Source organism: Homo sapiens, chromosome 19 (assembly GCF_000001405.40).
Source record: "Homo sapiens chromosome 19, GRCh38.p14 Primary Assembly".
NCBI lineage: Eukaryota > Metazoa > Chordata > Mammalia > Primates > Hominidae > Homo > Homo sapiens.
Genome location: NC_000019.10, coordinates 5,744,403 through 5,758,938, shown reverse-complemented (window position 1 = coordinate 5,758,938; position 14,536 = coordinate 5,744,403). Strand labels below are relative to the sequence as shown.

At 49.0% G+C, this 14,536-nt stretch overlaps 1 protein-coding gene across 13 annotated transcripts in view; it reads right to left on the bottom strand.

Annotated features, from left to right (window-relative positions):
- Window positions 1-14,536, bottom strand: part of CATSPERD (catsper channel auxiliary subunit delta) — a 58,098-nt gene that overhangs the window by 19,796 nt on the left and 23,766 nt on the right. For 8 of the 13 annotated variants that reach the window (XM_011527885.4, NM_152784.4, XM_011527887.4 and 5 more), the window contains 7 exons: window positions 14,429-14,512; window positions 12,876-13,026; window positions 10,684-10,779; window positions 9,756-9,838; window positions 7,116-7,292; window positions 4,694-4,807; window positions 1,007-1,096 (listed from right to left, as the gene is read on the bottom strand). In XM_011527885.4, coding sequence (XP_011526187.1) covers window positions 1,007-1,096; window positions 4,694-4,807; window positions 7,116-7,292; window positions 9,756-9,838; window positions 10,684-10,779; window positions 12,876-13,026; window positions 14,429-14,512 — 795 coding nt within the window. Of the gene's footprint in view, window positions 1-1,006; window positions 1,097-4,693; window positions 4,808-7,115; window positions 7,293-9,755; window positions 9,839-10,683; window positions 10,780-11,622; window positions 11,663-12,875; window positions 13,027-14,428; window positions 14,513-14,536 lie in introns of those variants that run through there. The other 5 variants (XM_011527886.4, XM_017026564.3, XM_011527891.1 and 2 more) reach the window with 5 other exon arrangements.

Below are 14,536 nucleotides of genomic sequence, written 5' to 3'. Positions count from 1 at the left end.
TTTTTTTTTTTTTTTGAGATGGAGTCTCTCTCTGTTGCCCAGGCTGGAGTGCATTAGCACGATCTTGGCTCACTGCAACCTCCACCTCCCTGGTTCAAGTGATTCTCCTGCCTCATCCTCCCAAGTAGCTGGAACTACAGGTGAGCGTTACCATGCCTGGCTAATGTTTGCCTTTTTTTTCTTCTCTTTTTTTTTTAAGACTGAGTCTCGCTCTGTCGCCCAGGCTGGAGTGCAGTGACACGATCTCGGCTCACTGCCAGCTCTGCCTCCTGGGTTCACGCCATTCTCCTGCCTCAGCCTCCCGAGTAGCTGGGACTACAGGTGCCCGCCACCACACCCGGCTAATTTTTTTTTTTTTTTTTTTTGTATTTTTAGTAGAGACGGGGTTTCACCATGTTGGCCAGGCTGGTCTCAAACTCCTGACCTCAAGTGATCCACCCACCTTGGCCTCTCAAAGTGCTGGGATTCCAGGCGTGAGCCACTGCGCCCAGCCAAGCCCTGCTCTGTTCTAGTCCCACCGCCTGTGAAAGGCTTCTGGAAGCTCACAGAAACAACGGCCCCAATATGATGGCTCCTATTCCCTTGCTCCCTGAGTTCTGGGGACCCACAGTGAGGAGTGACTGTTTTCTCACTCACCTGGATGTGATGTGACGAGCCTGGTTAAAGGAGTTTGCTGTCACCAACTTGCACCTGGTCAGGCCCCTGCCCTGTGGAAACTGCCCCCACGCAATCCTCATGCCTCAGTTTACCCAACTAACTCAGATCTCCGGCTACCCTCCCCGGGCTGGGTTAGGCTCCTCCCTGTCATGCCATCCGGGTCTCTCCCGTGTGACACTTTAATGAGGTCAAGCGTGTGGTTGACGGCTGCCTGATCATCTTCCCACCGCGGGGCACGGCCACGGGCTATGTACCCTGGAAACTCCTAAATTTTTATGCTGATAAGGGAAGGAGGAAGAGGGGGCCTCTCAAGGGACAGGCGACAGGGTTTGGTGGGGACGCGGCTCACCAGTTTGTACTTGGTGTTCCCATCTGATGTGTAACCGTTCTCGTAGAAGGTGGCCTGGAACCCCAGGGAGTGGGGGTTGCTCACCATCACCTGGGAGTGGGGGAGAGAAGCTCAGGCTGTACGGAGCCAGCAGGCAGGACGGGGTGACAAACCCCCACAGTGAGCCCAGCACACCTTCAAATGAAAAATCAGGGCTGGGTGTAGTGGCTCATATCTGTAATCCCAGCACTTTGGGAGACCAAGGTGAGAAGACTGCTTGAGCCCAGGAGTTCAAGACGAGCCTGGGCAACACAGAGAGATCCTGTCTCTACAAAAAAAAAAAAAAAAAAAAAATTTGGCCAGGCGCGGTGGCTCACGCCTGTACTTCCAGCACTTTGGGAGGCCGAGGCAGGTGGATCACCTGAGGTCGGGAGTTTGAGACCAGCCTGACCAACATGGAGAAACCCCATCTCTACTAAAAATACAAAATTAGCCAGGCATGGTGGTGCATGCCTGTAATCCCAGCTACTCGGGAGCCCGAGGCAAGAGAATCGCTTGAACCCAGGAGGCAAAAGTTGCGGTGAGCTGAGATCACGCCATTGTACTCCCGCCTGGGTAACAAGAGCAAGATTCCGTCTCAAAAAAAAAAAAAAAAAGAAGTTGAAAATGCATTTATTTATTATTTTCTTTCTTTCTTTATTTTTGAGATGGAGTCTCACTCTGTCACCCAGGCTGGAGTGCAGTCCTGCAAACTCAGCTCACTGCAACCTCTGCCTCCTGGGTTCCAGTGATTCTCTTACTTCAGCCTCCCAAGTAGTTGGGATTACAGGCATGCGCCAACACACCCAGCTAATTTTTGTATTTTTAGCAGAGATGGGGTTTCACCATATTGGCCAGGCTGGTCTGGAACTCCTGACTTCATATGATATGCCTGTGTCGGCCTCCTAAAGTGCTGGGATTACAGGCGTGAGCCACCGCACCTGGCCTATTTATTTATTTTTATTTTTTTTGGAGGCAGAGTCTTGCTCTGTCACCCAGGCTGCAGTGCAGTGGTGAGATCTTGGCTCACTGCAACCTCTGCCTCCTGGGTTCAAGCGATTCTCATGTGTCAGCCTCCCGAGTAGCTGGGATTCCAAGCACGCTACCACACCCAGCTAATTTTTGTGTTTTTAGTAGAGACGAGGTTTCACCATGTTGCACAGGCTGGTCTCAAACTCCCGAGCTTAGGCAATCCCCCCACCTCGGCCTCCCAAAGTGCTGGGATTACAGGTGTGAGCCACCGTGCCTGGCCTGAAAATGCATTTAATATACCTAACCTACCAAGCATTGGAAGTTAGCCCAGCCTACTTTAAATTGAGAATAAACCAAGCAATACTAAAAGGAGAACAAAACCCACTCGCCCTTCCACCCCTTGGATCACGATGTTGACATTTCAGGGGTCCAGCTTTCCTGAATGTTTGTACAAATAGATAATACATGTGGATGAATTTACCCACCTTTAGTGTATAATTCAGTGGCTTTCGGTAGATTCACAATATCGTGCAACCATCACTGCCATCTGTTTCCAAAACTTTCGCATAGTCCCAAATGGAAACTCTGTCCTCATGAAGCAATAATTTACCTACTTTTAAATTTTTTATTTTTATTTATTTATTTAATTTTTTTTTTTCTTTGAGAGGGAGTCTCACTCTGTCACCCAGGCTAGAGTGCAGTGGCATGGTCTCAGCTCACTGCAACCTCCACCTCCCAGATTCAAGTGATTCTCCCACGTCAGCCTCCTGAGTAGCGGGGATTACAGGCATGTGCCACCACACCCGGCTAATTTTTGTATTTTTAGTAGAAATGGGGTTTCACTATGTTGGCCAGGCTGATCTTGAACTCCTGGCCTCAGGCAATCTGCCCGCCTTGGCCTCCCAAAGTGCTGGGATTACAGGCGTGAGCCACCGCGCCTGGACAATTTTTTTATTTTTTAAGAGATGAGGTTTTACTCTGTTACCCAGGCTGGAGTGCAATGGCATGAGTATAGCTCACTGCAGCCTCAACCTCCTGGGCTCAAGTGATCCTCCTGCCTCAGCCTCCTGCCTTAGCCCCAAGTAGCTGGGACTACAGGTGCATGCCACTACACCTGGCTAATTTTTATTTTTTTAATTTATTTTTATTTATTTATTTATTTATTTATTGAGACAGAGTCTCGCTCTTGTTGCCCAGGCTGGAGTGCAATGGCACGATCTTGGCTCACCGCAACCTCCGCCTCCTGGGTTCAAGAGATTCTCCTGCCTCAGCCTCTCCAGTAGCTGGGATTACAGGCATGCGCCACCACACCCGGCTAATAATTTTTATGTTTTTTGTACAGATGGAGTCTCACTATGTTGCCCAGGCTAGTCTCGAGCTCCTGGGTTCAAGCGATCTTCCCACCTCAGCCTCCTGAAGTACTGAAATTACGGGCGGGAGCCACCGCGCCCGGCCCTCATGTAATTTATTGAATACTATACTAATAGTGAAAAACAGAAAGGCTGTATCAGTACTGGAAATACAGTTTCTATTGAGTATAATAGTTTTTGTATACTCAATATTTTGAGTATAATATATTGAGTATAATACTCAATAGTCTGAGTATAATCGGTTTTGTGCCATTGTAAAGTCAAAAAATTGTGGGACCATCTGTACTTGCAGCTAATGCCTAGGCTTAGACACTTGGATTTTGGATCGAGAAACATCCAAACACTTCCTGCTGGGTGGGGGAAGGCCATAGGGGTCAGGGCTCTTAGCTGCTAGCAAGAGAAGCCAACTCAGGCTGAGTTAAGAAAATGAGGCCAGCATGGTGGCTCACGCCTGTAATCCCAGCACTTTGGGAGTCCGAGGTGGGTGGATCACCTGAGGTCAGGAGTTCAAGACCAGTCTGACCAACATGGCAAAACCCCATCTTACTAAAAATACAAAACTTAGCCAGGCATGATGGCAGGCACCTGTAATCCCAGCTACTTGGGAGGCTGAGGCAGGAGAATGGCTTGAACCCGGGAGGCAGAGGTTACAGTGAGCCGAGATCGTGCCATTGCACTCCAGCCTGGGCGACAGAGCAAAACTCTGTCTCAAAAAAAAAAAAAAAGAAGAAGAAGAAAATGAATGTATGGGCAGCTCAGAAGGATGGAGGAGGCACAGAGACAGCACAAGGGCGGCCAGGCGGCCAGCTGGACAGCCACAGCCTCATCACGCCCAGACATGCAGAGGCACGTCGAGGGGGAAGACACATAGAAATGGCTGGGCATGGTGGCTCATGCCTGTAACCCCAACATTTTGGGAGTCCGAGGTGAGCAGATCACTTGAGACCAGGAGTTCAAGACCAGCCTGACCAACATGGGGGAACCCCGTCTCCACTAAAAATACAAAATTAGCCAGGCGTGGTGGCACATGCTGGTAATCCCAGCTACTCGGGAGGCTGAGGCAGGAGAATTGCTTGAGCCCAGGAGGTGGAGGCTGCAGTGAGCCGAGATCACGCCACTGCACTCCAGCCTAATGGACAGAGCGAGGTTCTGTCTCAAAAAAAAAAAAAAAAAAAAAAAGACACAGAGACAATTTCTATGCAGAATTGTGAGTGTGCGAGTAGCGTCTCTCCTTGTGGGGGATGCCAGGGGATTTCCAGAATCTGGGAGTGGGCACCAGGCATGTGGCTGAGAATCCCAGATAGCAGAAACATTAAGATGTACTTACCAGAGGAATCAGGGATGTGCCTGGCTGGGGTATCAACGAAGCAGTCAATTCCAGCTGGCTGTGCATGTCAATGGTATACATCCTGTATATAAATTCTCCTGTCAGAAACTCTATCTAGTTAAAAAGGCGAAGAAGAAAGATAATCATGCTCCTGTTCCCATAAAGAAAGGGCAAGGAGGTGGGAAGGAGGAAGGGACCCTCCTGGTCCTGCAGCCTGAATCTCCACTTGTGCCTCTGTCTTCCCCACTAGACTCTGTATTTCCAGAAGGGTCTCGAGATGGGCACAATGCCAGCCCCTCCCTCCTCTCCAGAAGTATTCCCCAACCCTGACATGCGCAGTAATTGCTTCTTTCTGTTCCTTTCTTTTTTTTTTGAGACAGGGTCTCGCTCTGTCGCCCAGGCTGGAGTGCAGTGGTTTGATCATGGCTCACTGCAGCCTTGACCTCCCAGGATCAAGCAATCCTCTTCCCTCAGCCTCCCAAGTAGCCAGGACTACAGGCGTGCACCACCATGCCCGGCTAATTCAATTTTTTTTTTTTAATAGAGACAAGGGCTTACTATGTTGCCACGCTGGTCCCAAATTCCTGGGCACAAGTGATCCTCCCATCTCGGCCTCCCAAAGTGCTTGAGGTTACAGTTGTGAGCCACTGCGCCTGACCTCTTTCTGTTTCTTTTTTTTTTTTTGAGACAGAGTCTGGCTCTGTCGCCCAGGTTGGGGTGCAGTGGCGTAATCTCGGCTCACTGCAAGCTCTGCCTCCGGGGTTCATGCCATTCTCCTGCCTCAGTCTCCCAAGTAGCTGAGACTATAGGCGCCCACCACCACGCCCAGCTAATTTTTTTTTTGTATTTTTGGTAGAGATGGGGTTTCACTGTTAGCCAGGAAGGTCTCGATCTCCTGACCTTGTGATCCACCCACCTTAGCCTCCCAAAGCGCTGGGATTACAGGCGTGAGCCACCGCGCCCGCCCCCTCTTTCTGTTTCTTTAGAGTAGAGCTGCCCTAGTATGCATCTGAAGATCATCACTCAGTCTTGCCCGTTTCCCAACACAGGTATGTCTTTTAATCCTCTTTCAATCTACAGGTTTGTTGGCTGGGTTTAGTGGCTCACACCTGTAATCCTGAGGGGTAGAGAATCACTTAAGTTCAGGGGTTTGAGACCAACCTGGACCACACAGGGAGACTCCTGTCTCTACAAAATCTACTTTTTTTTTTTTTTTTTGACATGGAGTCTCACTCCATCACCCAGGCTGGAGTGCAGTGGCTTGGTTTCGGCTCACTGCAACCTCTGCCTCCCAGGTTCAAGCGATTCTCCTGCCTCAGCCTCCTGAGTAGCTGGGATTACAAGCATGTGCCAGCACGCCCATCTAATTTTTGTATTTTTAGTAGAGACGGGGTTTCGCCATGTTGGCCAGGCTGCTCTCGAACCCCTGACCTCAGGTGATCCGCCCGCCTCGGCCTCCCAAAGTGTTAGGATTACAGGAATGAGCCACCACGCCCGGCCCCCTTTTCCTTTCCATGGATTTTGGAAGTCCCCACGCTGTTGGGCCCGCAGCATTTCTCAAAATCTGGATTTCCCTGGTGCAGGTGAACCCATTCCTCTGTCTTTTGTATTTCTGGCAAATTTGCAGCTGGATTGATGCTTGCCTCATGAGATTGAGTTTGATCGTGTTGGCAGTGGTCAATGGGTGATGTGATTGATCTCTTATTGGTGACGAATACTATCTTGTTGTCTCTTATTTTGTTAATTTCTCTTTTTTTAAATTAGTGTTTTAGAAACGAGGATCTCATTTTGTCACCCAGGCTGGAGTGCAGTGACTCCATCATAGCTCACTGCAGCCTCGAACTCCTGGGCTCAAGTGATCCCCACACCTCAGCCTCCCAAGTAACTGAGAGTACACACCACCATGCCCAACTTATTTATTTATTTATTTATTATTTGAGACGAAGTCTCGCTCTGTCACCCAGGCTGGAGTGCAGTGGTGTGATCTCGGCTCATTGCAACCTCTGCCTCCCAGGTTAAAGAGATTCTCATGCCTCAGCACTCGAAGTAGGTGGGATTACAGGCGCCCGCCACCACACCAAGCTAATTTTCGTATTTTTAGTAGAGATGGGGTGTCACCATGTTGGCCAGGCTGGTCTGGAACTCCTGACCTCAAGTGATCCACCTGCCTCAGTCTCCCAAAGACTCAGTCTCCAAAGTCTCCCACCGTACCTGGCCAACGCCCAGCTTTAAAAAAAAATTTTTTTTTGTTTTAGAAATGGGTGTATGTTGCCCAGGCTGGTCTTGAACTCCTGGCCTCAAACAACCCTCCAGCCTCAGCCTCCTGAGCAACTGGGGCTACAGGCGTGCACCACCATGCCCAGGTTGAATTTGTCTTTAAAAACTACATTGAACATTGATCAAAACAGTTAGGATCACATACCTTGCACTTTCCAACGTGGAGTTCAGGGTCCATGAGAAGCGCCTGGATATTCACGAGGCACTTCTGGAAATCAAAAGCTGGAAAGGCTGTGTCACGCAGTGGGGTCAGTATTTCCAGAGTCCCTGGGCTCCTGAACATCAGGGCCACGTCTTCTGACCAGATGTATTGGTCTGCAAACTAAGAAGAAAATGATTCCTGAGATCTAATCATTGTAATTGTTTTTCTGGAGGTTTAAATTTTATTTCATGATGCAGATTTTTTTTTTTTTTTTTTTTTTTTTTTTTTTTTTTTTGATGGAGTCTCACTCTGTCTCCCAGGCTGGAGTGCAGTGGCGCCATCTCGGTTCACTGCAAGCTCCGCCTCCCGGGTTCACGCCATTCTCCTGCCTCAGCCTCCCGAGTAGCTGGGACTACAGACGCGCAGCCACCACACCCGGCTAATTTTTTTTTTCTTTGTATTTTTTAGTAGGGACAGGGTTTCACTGTGTTAGCCAGGATGGTGTCGATCTCCTGACCTCGTGATCCGCCCGCCTCGGCCTCTGAAAGTGCTGGGATTACAGGCGTGAGCCACCGCGCCAGGCCTTTTTTTTTTTTTTTTTTTTTTTTTTTTTTTTTTTTTTTTTTTTTGAGACGGAATCTTGTTCTGTCGCCTGGGCTGGAGTGCAGTGGCGCAATCTCAGCCCACGGCAACCTCCGCCTCCCGGGTTCAAGCGATTCTCCTGAGTCACTGGGATCACAGTCGCACCACCATGCCCGGCTAATTTTTGTATTTTTAGTAGAGACGAGTTTCACCATGTTGATCAGGCTGGTCTTGAACTCCTGACCTCGTGATCCACCTGCCTCGGCCTCCCAAAAGTGCTGGGATTACAGGCATGAGCCACCACGCCCGGCCATGATGCAGATTGAAAGAAGGTAGAGGGAAGAAAGAAAAAGAAAAGAGAAAGGAAGAGAGAAAGAGAAAGGAAGGAAGAAAGGAAAGAAGGGAGAGAGGGCTGGGGGAGGGAGGAAACACAGTCATAAGGACAACTTGTGATCTAACTTCTCTTCAGCTTCATTCATCCTTTGGTAATTATTATTTTTTTCTTTTTTTGAGATGGAGCCTCACTCTGTCGCCCAGGCTGGAGTGCAGTGGCACGATCTCGGCTCACTGCAACCTCCGTCTCCCGGGTTCAAGCCATTCTCCTGCCTCACGAGTAGCTGGGATTACAGGCATGCACCACCATGCCCAGCTAATTTTCATATTTTTAGTAGAGACGGGGTCTCACTATGTTGCCCATGCTGGTCATGAACTCCTGGAACCAAAGTGCTGGGATTGCAGGAAGGAGCCACTGTGCCTGGCCAAAATAATTCCTTTTTTTTTTTTTTTTTTTTTTTGAGACAGAGTCTCGCTCAGTCACCCAGGCTAGAGTGCAGTGGCTTGATCTCTGCTCACTGCAAGCTCCGCCTCCTGGATTCACGCCATTCTCCTGCCTCAGCCTCCCGAGTAGCTGGGACTACAGGTGCCGCCACCACGCCCGGCTAATTTTTTCGTATTTTTTTTAGTAGAGACGGGGTTTCACCGTGTTAGCCAGGATGGTCACGATCTCCTGAACTCGTGATCCGCCCACCTTGGCCACCCAAGGTGCTGGGATTACAGGCGTGAGCCACCACGCCCGGCCAAAATAATTCTTTTATTTTAAATTTTTGTTAGTTTTATTATTATTTTTAAGAAACAGAGTTTCGGCCGGGCGCGGTGGCTCACGACTGTAATCCCAGCACTTTGGGAGGCCTAGGCGGGTGGATCACCTGAGGTCAGGAGTTGAAGACCAGCCTGGACAATATGGTGAAACCCTGACTCCACTAAAATTACAAAACTTAGCCTGGTGTGGTGGCATGCGCCTGTAATCCCAGCTACTCGGGAGGCTGAGGCAGGAGAATTGCTTGAACCTGAGAGGTGGAGGTTGTAGTGAGCCAAGATTGTGCTGTGGCATTCCAAGCTAGGCGACAGAGTGAGACTCCATCTCAAAAAAAAAAAAAAAAAATTAGATAGGCATAATGCACAAGAGGATGTCAGATGACACCTGCACCACCACTTAGTACCACTTTGAGCCTGGACAGACGACTTAGGTCTCTGTGCCTCAGTTTTTCCATCTGTCAAATAGGGACGATATGAGGAGCTTCCTAAGATGATGGTCAAGGTTAAATAATGTAATACACGAAGGTGCCTAGACCAGCACCTATAGTATTTTAAATACTCTTCCCCTTTTAGCTGCTGTTGTTGTTGTTGTTTTACTAACTAGAGTGATTTCTAGCCTTCGAAAAAAGGTTCAGAAGTTTGTGAACAAGACCATTATTCCTTACCAACTAATTCATAACCCCACTTTCTGTTGTCGTTGTTGTTGTTGAGACAGAGTCTTACTCTGCCTTCCAGGCTCAAGCGATTCTCCTGCCTCAGCCTCCCGTGTAACTGGAATTACAGGTGCCCACCACCAGGCTCGGCTAATTTTTGTATTTTTAGTAGAGACAGGGTTTCACCATGTTGGCAAGGCTGGTCTTGAACTCCTGACCTCAGGTGATCCTTCCACCTCAGCCTCCCAAAGTGCTGGGATGACAGGCGTGAACCACCGTGCCCAGCCCATAACCCCACTTTCTTTTTACCTACTTTGATTATGGAACTTGGCACGATGCCCAGATTGCCATAATACAAATTATCCTCCCGAGTTATAACTGCCAGTTCATTTTCAGCTGGGAAAAACAAAACAAGACAAAACAAAAATTGAAATGCTGGTCATTTCTGTGGACAAAAACATAAGTGTGGTTGGGTGCAGTGGCTCACGCCTGTAATTCCAACACTTTGAGAGGCCGAGGGGGGTGGATCACTTGAGGCCAGGAGTTTGAGACCAGCCTGGCCAACATGGTGAATCCTCTTTTTCTACTAAAAATACAAAAATGAGCCGGGCATGGTGGTGCGCGCCTGTAGTCCCAGCTACTCAGGAGGCTGAGGCAGGAGAATCATTTAACCCAGGAGGCAGAGGTTACACTGAGCAGAGATCACGCCACTACTCCAGCCTGGGTAACAAGATTGAAACTCCATCTCAAAAAAAAAAAAAAAAAAAAGAATAATATGACAGCTATTTTCTGGTTATAATCACAAAATTCATGTGGAAATGCCAAGCAATATGAAAAAAATACAGAGTTGAAGCTTTTTTTTTTTTTTTTTTTGGAGTCTCACTGTGTCGCCCAGGCTGGAGTGCCATGGTGCGATCTGCTCACTGCTCACTCCACCTCCCGGGTTCCAGCGATTCTCCTGCCTCAGCCTCCTGAGTAGCTGGGATTATAGTCGCCCACCACCACGCCCAGCTTATTTTTGTATTTTTAGTAGAGAGGGGGTTTCACCATGTTGGCCAGGCTGGTCTCGAACTCCTGACCTCAGGTGATCCACCCGCCTCGGCCTCCCAAAGTGCTGGAATTACAGGCATGAGCCACCGCGCCCAGCTGATTTCGTGTTTTGGCTGGGTTGGGTCTGGCAGGCCTACGGTTAATAAGCCAGGTCTAAATATTTCTTGGCTAGCAGTGGGTCGGCTACGCACTGACAGCAATGTTGTGGATGGTGATCTTGGCTTCAAAAATGGAAGAAAACAAGGTCTGGTCTCCTTTTTTCACCCGGACGGTGTCGACGAGCTGACCTAGGAGGTAACAGGACAGGTGCATGAGGCCCCGTGTACATCCTGGGAAAGGGGATGTCTACTACTGGGACCACAGCCACCCCTGCCACCACCCAACCCACCCGGCCAGTGGCTCTTTCGATGTTCCTTATAGCTTTTGAGAGGTTTGCTATTCAAAGGAGAATGAATCAAGGAGAATACAGCACTGAAACACAATTTTGTTAAGCATGACAAGGAATATGCTTCGGTTTAAGAAAACCTAACCCTTCTGCCAGGCGCGGGGGTGCACACCTGTAATCCCAGTACTTTGGGAGGCTGAGGTGGGCAGATCGCTTGAAGTCAGGAGTTCGAGATCAGGCTGGCCAACATGGCAAAACCTTGTCTCTACTAAAAATACAAAAATTAACTGAGCATGGTTGCACGCACCTGTAATCCCAGCTACTTGGGAGACTGAGGCAGGAGAATTGCTTGAACCCAGAGGTGGAGGTTGCAGTGAGCCGAGATTGCGCCACTGTACTCCAGCCTGGGCGACAGAGCCAGACTCCATCTCAAAAAAAAAAAAAAAAAAAAGAAAAGAAAAAAGAAAACCAGATCCCCGTTAATCTTCTCTATAAGCAAGCTCAGAGGGATGGCCATTGAGTTTTTTGTCAACCAGGGGCTTGAACACAATGGAATGTCTTCTAATACAGGTGACCACTATAAGGAATAAAACAGGCCGGGTTTGGTGGCTCTCATCTGTAATCCCAGAACTTTGGGAGGCTGAGGCCAGAGGATTGCTTGAACCCAGGAGTTTGAGACCAGCCCGGGCAACAGGGTGAAACCCCGTCTCTACAAAAAATAAGTTAGTTATGCATGGTGGCGCACCTGTAGTCCCAGTTACTGGGAGGCTGAAGCAGGAGGATCACTTGAGCCTGAGAGGTGGGGAGGCTGCAGTGAGCCACGATTGCACCATTGCACTCCAGTCTCGATGACAGAGTGAAACTGTGTCCCAAAAAAAAAAAAAAAAAAAAAGGGAAACCATTGTGAGGATAAAACAGGTTGAGTACAGCGGCTCAGAGCTGTAATATCCAGACTTCGGGAGGCCAAGGCAGGAGGATTGCTTGAAGCCAGGAGTTTGAGACCAGCCTGGGCAACACAGGAGGACCCAGTCTCTACAAAAAATACAAAAAAATCAGCCAGGCATGGTGGCACATGCCTGTAGCCAGCTACTTGGGAGGCTGAGATGGGAGGATCGTTTGAGCCCAGGGAAGGTGGAGGCTGCAGTGAGCCATGATTGCACCACTGCATTCCAGCCTGGGTGCAGAAGTACAATCAGGACTCGGCACAGCTTCCGCCTCCACAGAGTGAGACACTGTCTCCAAAAAAAAAAGAAAAACAGGAACTTTACTGTGCATGAACTAAAGTCTCCCAGGAATACAACCATTAGCCTTCCCACATGTTAAAGAAATGGCTGGGCGTGGTGGCTCACGCCTGTAATCCCAGCACTTTGGGAGGCCGAGGCAGGTGGATTACGCGGTCAGGAGATGGAGACCATCCTGGCTAACACGGTGAAACCCCGTCTCTACTAAAAATACAAAAAAAAAAATTAGCCGGGCATGGTGCTGGGCGCCTGTAGTCCCAGCTACTAGGGAGGCTGAAGCCAGAGAATGGTGTGAACCCGGGAGGCGGAGCTTGCAGTGGGCCAAGATCGCGCCACTGCACTCTAGCCTGGGCGACAGAGTGAGACTCCGTCTCAAAAAAAAAAGAGAAAGAAATGTTAAATACGAAGCCTCCTGGAACTCTGGAAAAGCAGCCTCAGAGTTGTCTGACTGGCGTTTTTCCCAGACGCGACCTAAAGCTGGCGGAATAAACCTCCATGACGGAGACTCTTGTCACCGTCACTTATTTCAGTTGTCACTGTCTACCTGGCCCTAAGTATCCTGCAAGCCAGGAAGCTAGGGAGGATGCAGAGAGATCCACTAAATGATTATGGGCTTGTGGTCCACTCTGAACATGGAAGAGAAAAAATAACCGAGTGGTCGAGGGGTTGCTCCTTCCCCTCCCCTTATCCAGGCTGTACTCGGCCCCTCTGGAGGAGGCCACCAGGCGGCAGCCCCACCCTGGGCCCCTGGGCTCACCTGCATTATGGGAAAACAACAGGCTGTTCTCAAACCATAGGAGCAGGATGCCTCTCTGGCCGGGGGCGATGAGGATGTCTAGAGTCCCATTATAGTCAAAAGACAGCCCGAAACTCCGGTTGAGGGGGTGATCTGAGTACTTGAACATGCCCTGGGAGAAAAAGACACCATTCAGCCTCTCCCCAAACCCTACTGTGGAGTCCCACTGAGTCCTAATGAGGGAAGAGGAGTCTGGCTAGCAGGTGCAGGGGAAAGCAAAGAAAGCAAAGAAGCCACAAGTCTGCCTTTCTTTTTTTATTTTTATTAAATACAACTTTATTGTTTTGCTAGGGTTACATTTCAGTTTAACCATTGAAAATTTAGTTCTGAATAGAGAATTACTCTAAGTGTCAAATGCACAATGCATTTTGAAGATTTATTTTATTTTATTTTATTTTATTTTTGAGGTGGAGTCTGGCTCTGTTGCCCAGGCTGGAGTGCAGTGGCACGATCTCGGCTCACTGCCACCTCCATCTCCCAGGTCCAAGTGATTCTCCTGCCTCAGCCTCCCAAGTAGCTGTGATTACAGGTGCCTGACACCGTGCCGGGCTAATTTTTTTGTGTTTTTAGCAGAGACGGGGTTTCACCATCTTGGCCAGGCTGGTTTCAAACTCCTGACCCCAAATGATCTGCCCGCCTCGGACTTCCAAAGTGCTAGGATTACAGGCGTGAGCCACTGCACCCGGCCTCATTTTGAAGATGTAGTACAGAAAAATGTAAACTATCTCATCCATGAGTTGTTTATATTGATTACATACTGAAATGGTACCATTGGGCCAGGCGCAGTGGCTCACACCTGTAATCTCAGCACTGGGGGAGGCCGCGGCGGCGGAGGGTGGGGGTTACTTGAGGTCAGGAGTTTGAGACCAGCCTGGCCAATATGGTGAAACCCTGTCACTACTGAAAATACAAAAATTACCTGGGCATGGTGGCAGGCACCTGTAATCCCAGCTATTCAGGAGGCTGAAGCACAAGAATCACTTGAGCCCGGGAGGCAGAGGTTGCAGTGAGCCCAGATTACACCACTGCACTCCAGCCTGGGTGACACAGTGAGAATCAGTCTCACATAAATAAAAAAAGAAAAGATACTATTTTAAAATGGTTAAACAAAAATACATTATCGATGCCGGGCGCCGTGGCTTACACCTGTAATCCCAGGCCTTTGGGAGGCCAAGGTGGGTGGATCACTTGAGCTCAGGAGTTCGAGACCAGCCTGGCCAACATGGTGAAACCCTATCTCTACTAAAAATACAAAAATTAGCCAGGCGCGGTGGCACGAGCCCATAGTCCCAGCTACTCGGGAGGCTGAGGCAGGAGAATTGCTTGAAGTTGAAAGGTGGAGGTTGCAGTGAGCTGAGATTGCGCCACTGCACTCCGGCCTGGCTGACAGAGCGAGACTCTGTCTAAAAAAAAATTAAATAAATAAATAAATGTTTAAAAATGTGCGAGTTGTAACAAAAACCTGGGCTTGGGCAAAGGTCCTCTGAGTAGTTCTTCCCTCTGCAGTTACTTACCTTCCCTTGATTCACTACAAGCATCGCAACCTGTGACAAAGAAAAAAAGTGGAAGATTCCGCCTAAAGACCCAATGATTTCTGCCTATGAAACAAACAGAAAAGACTT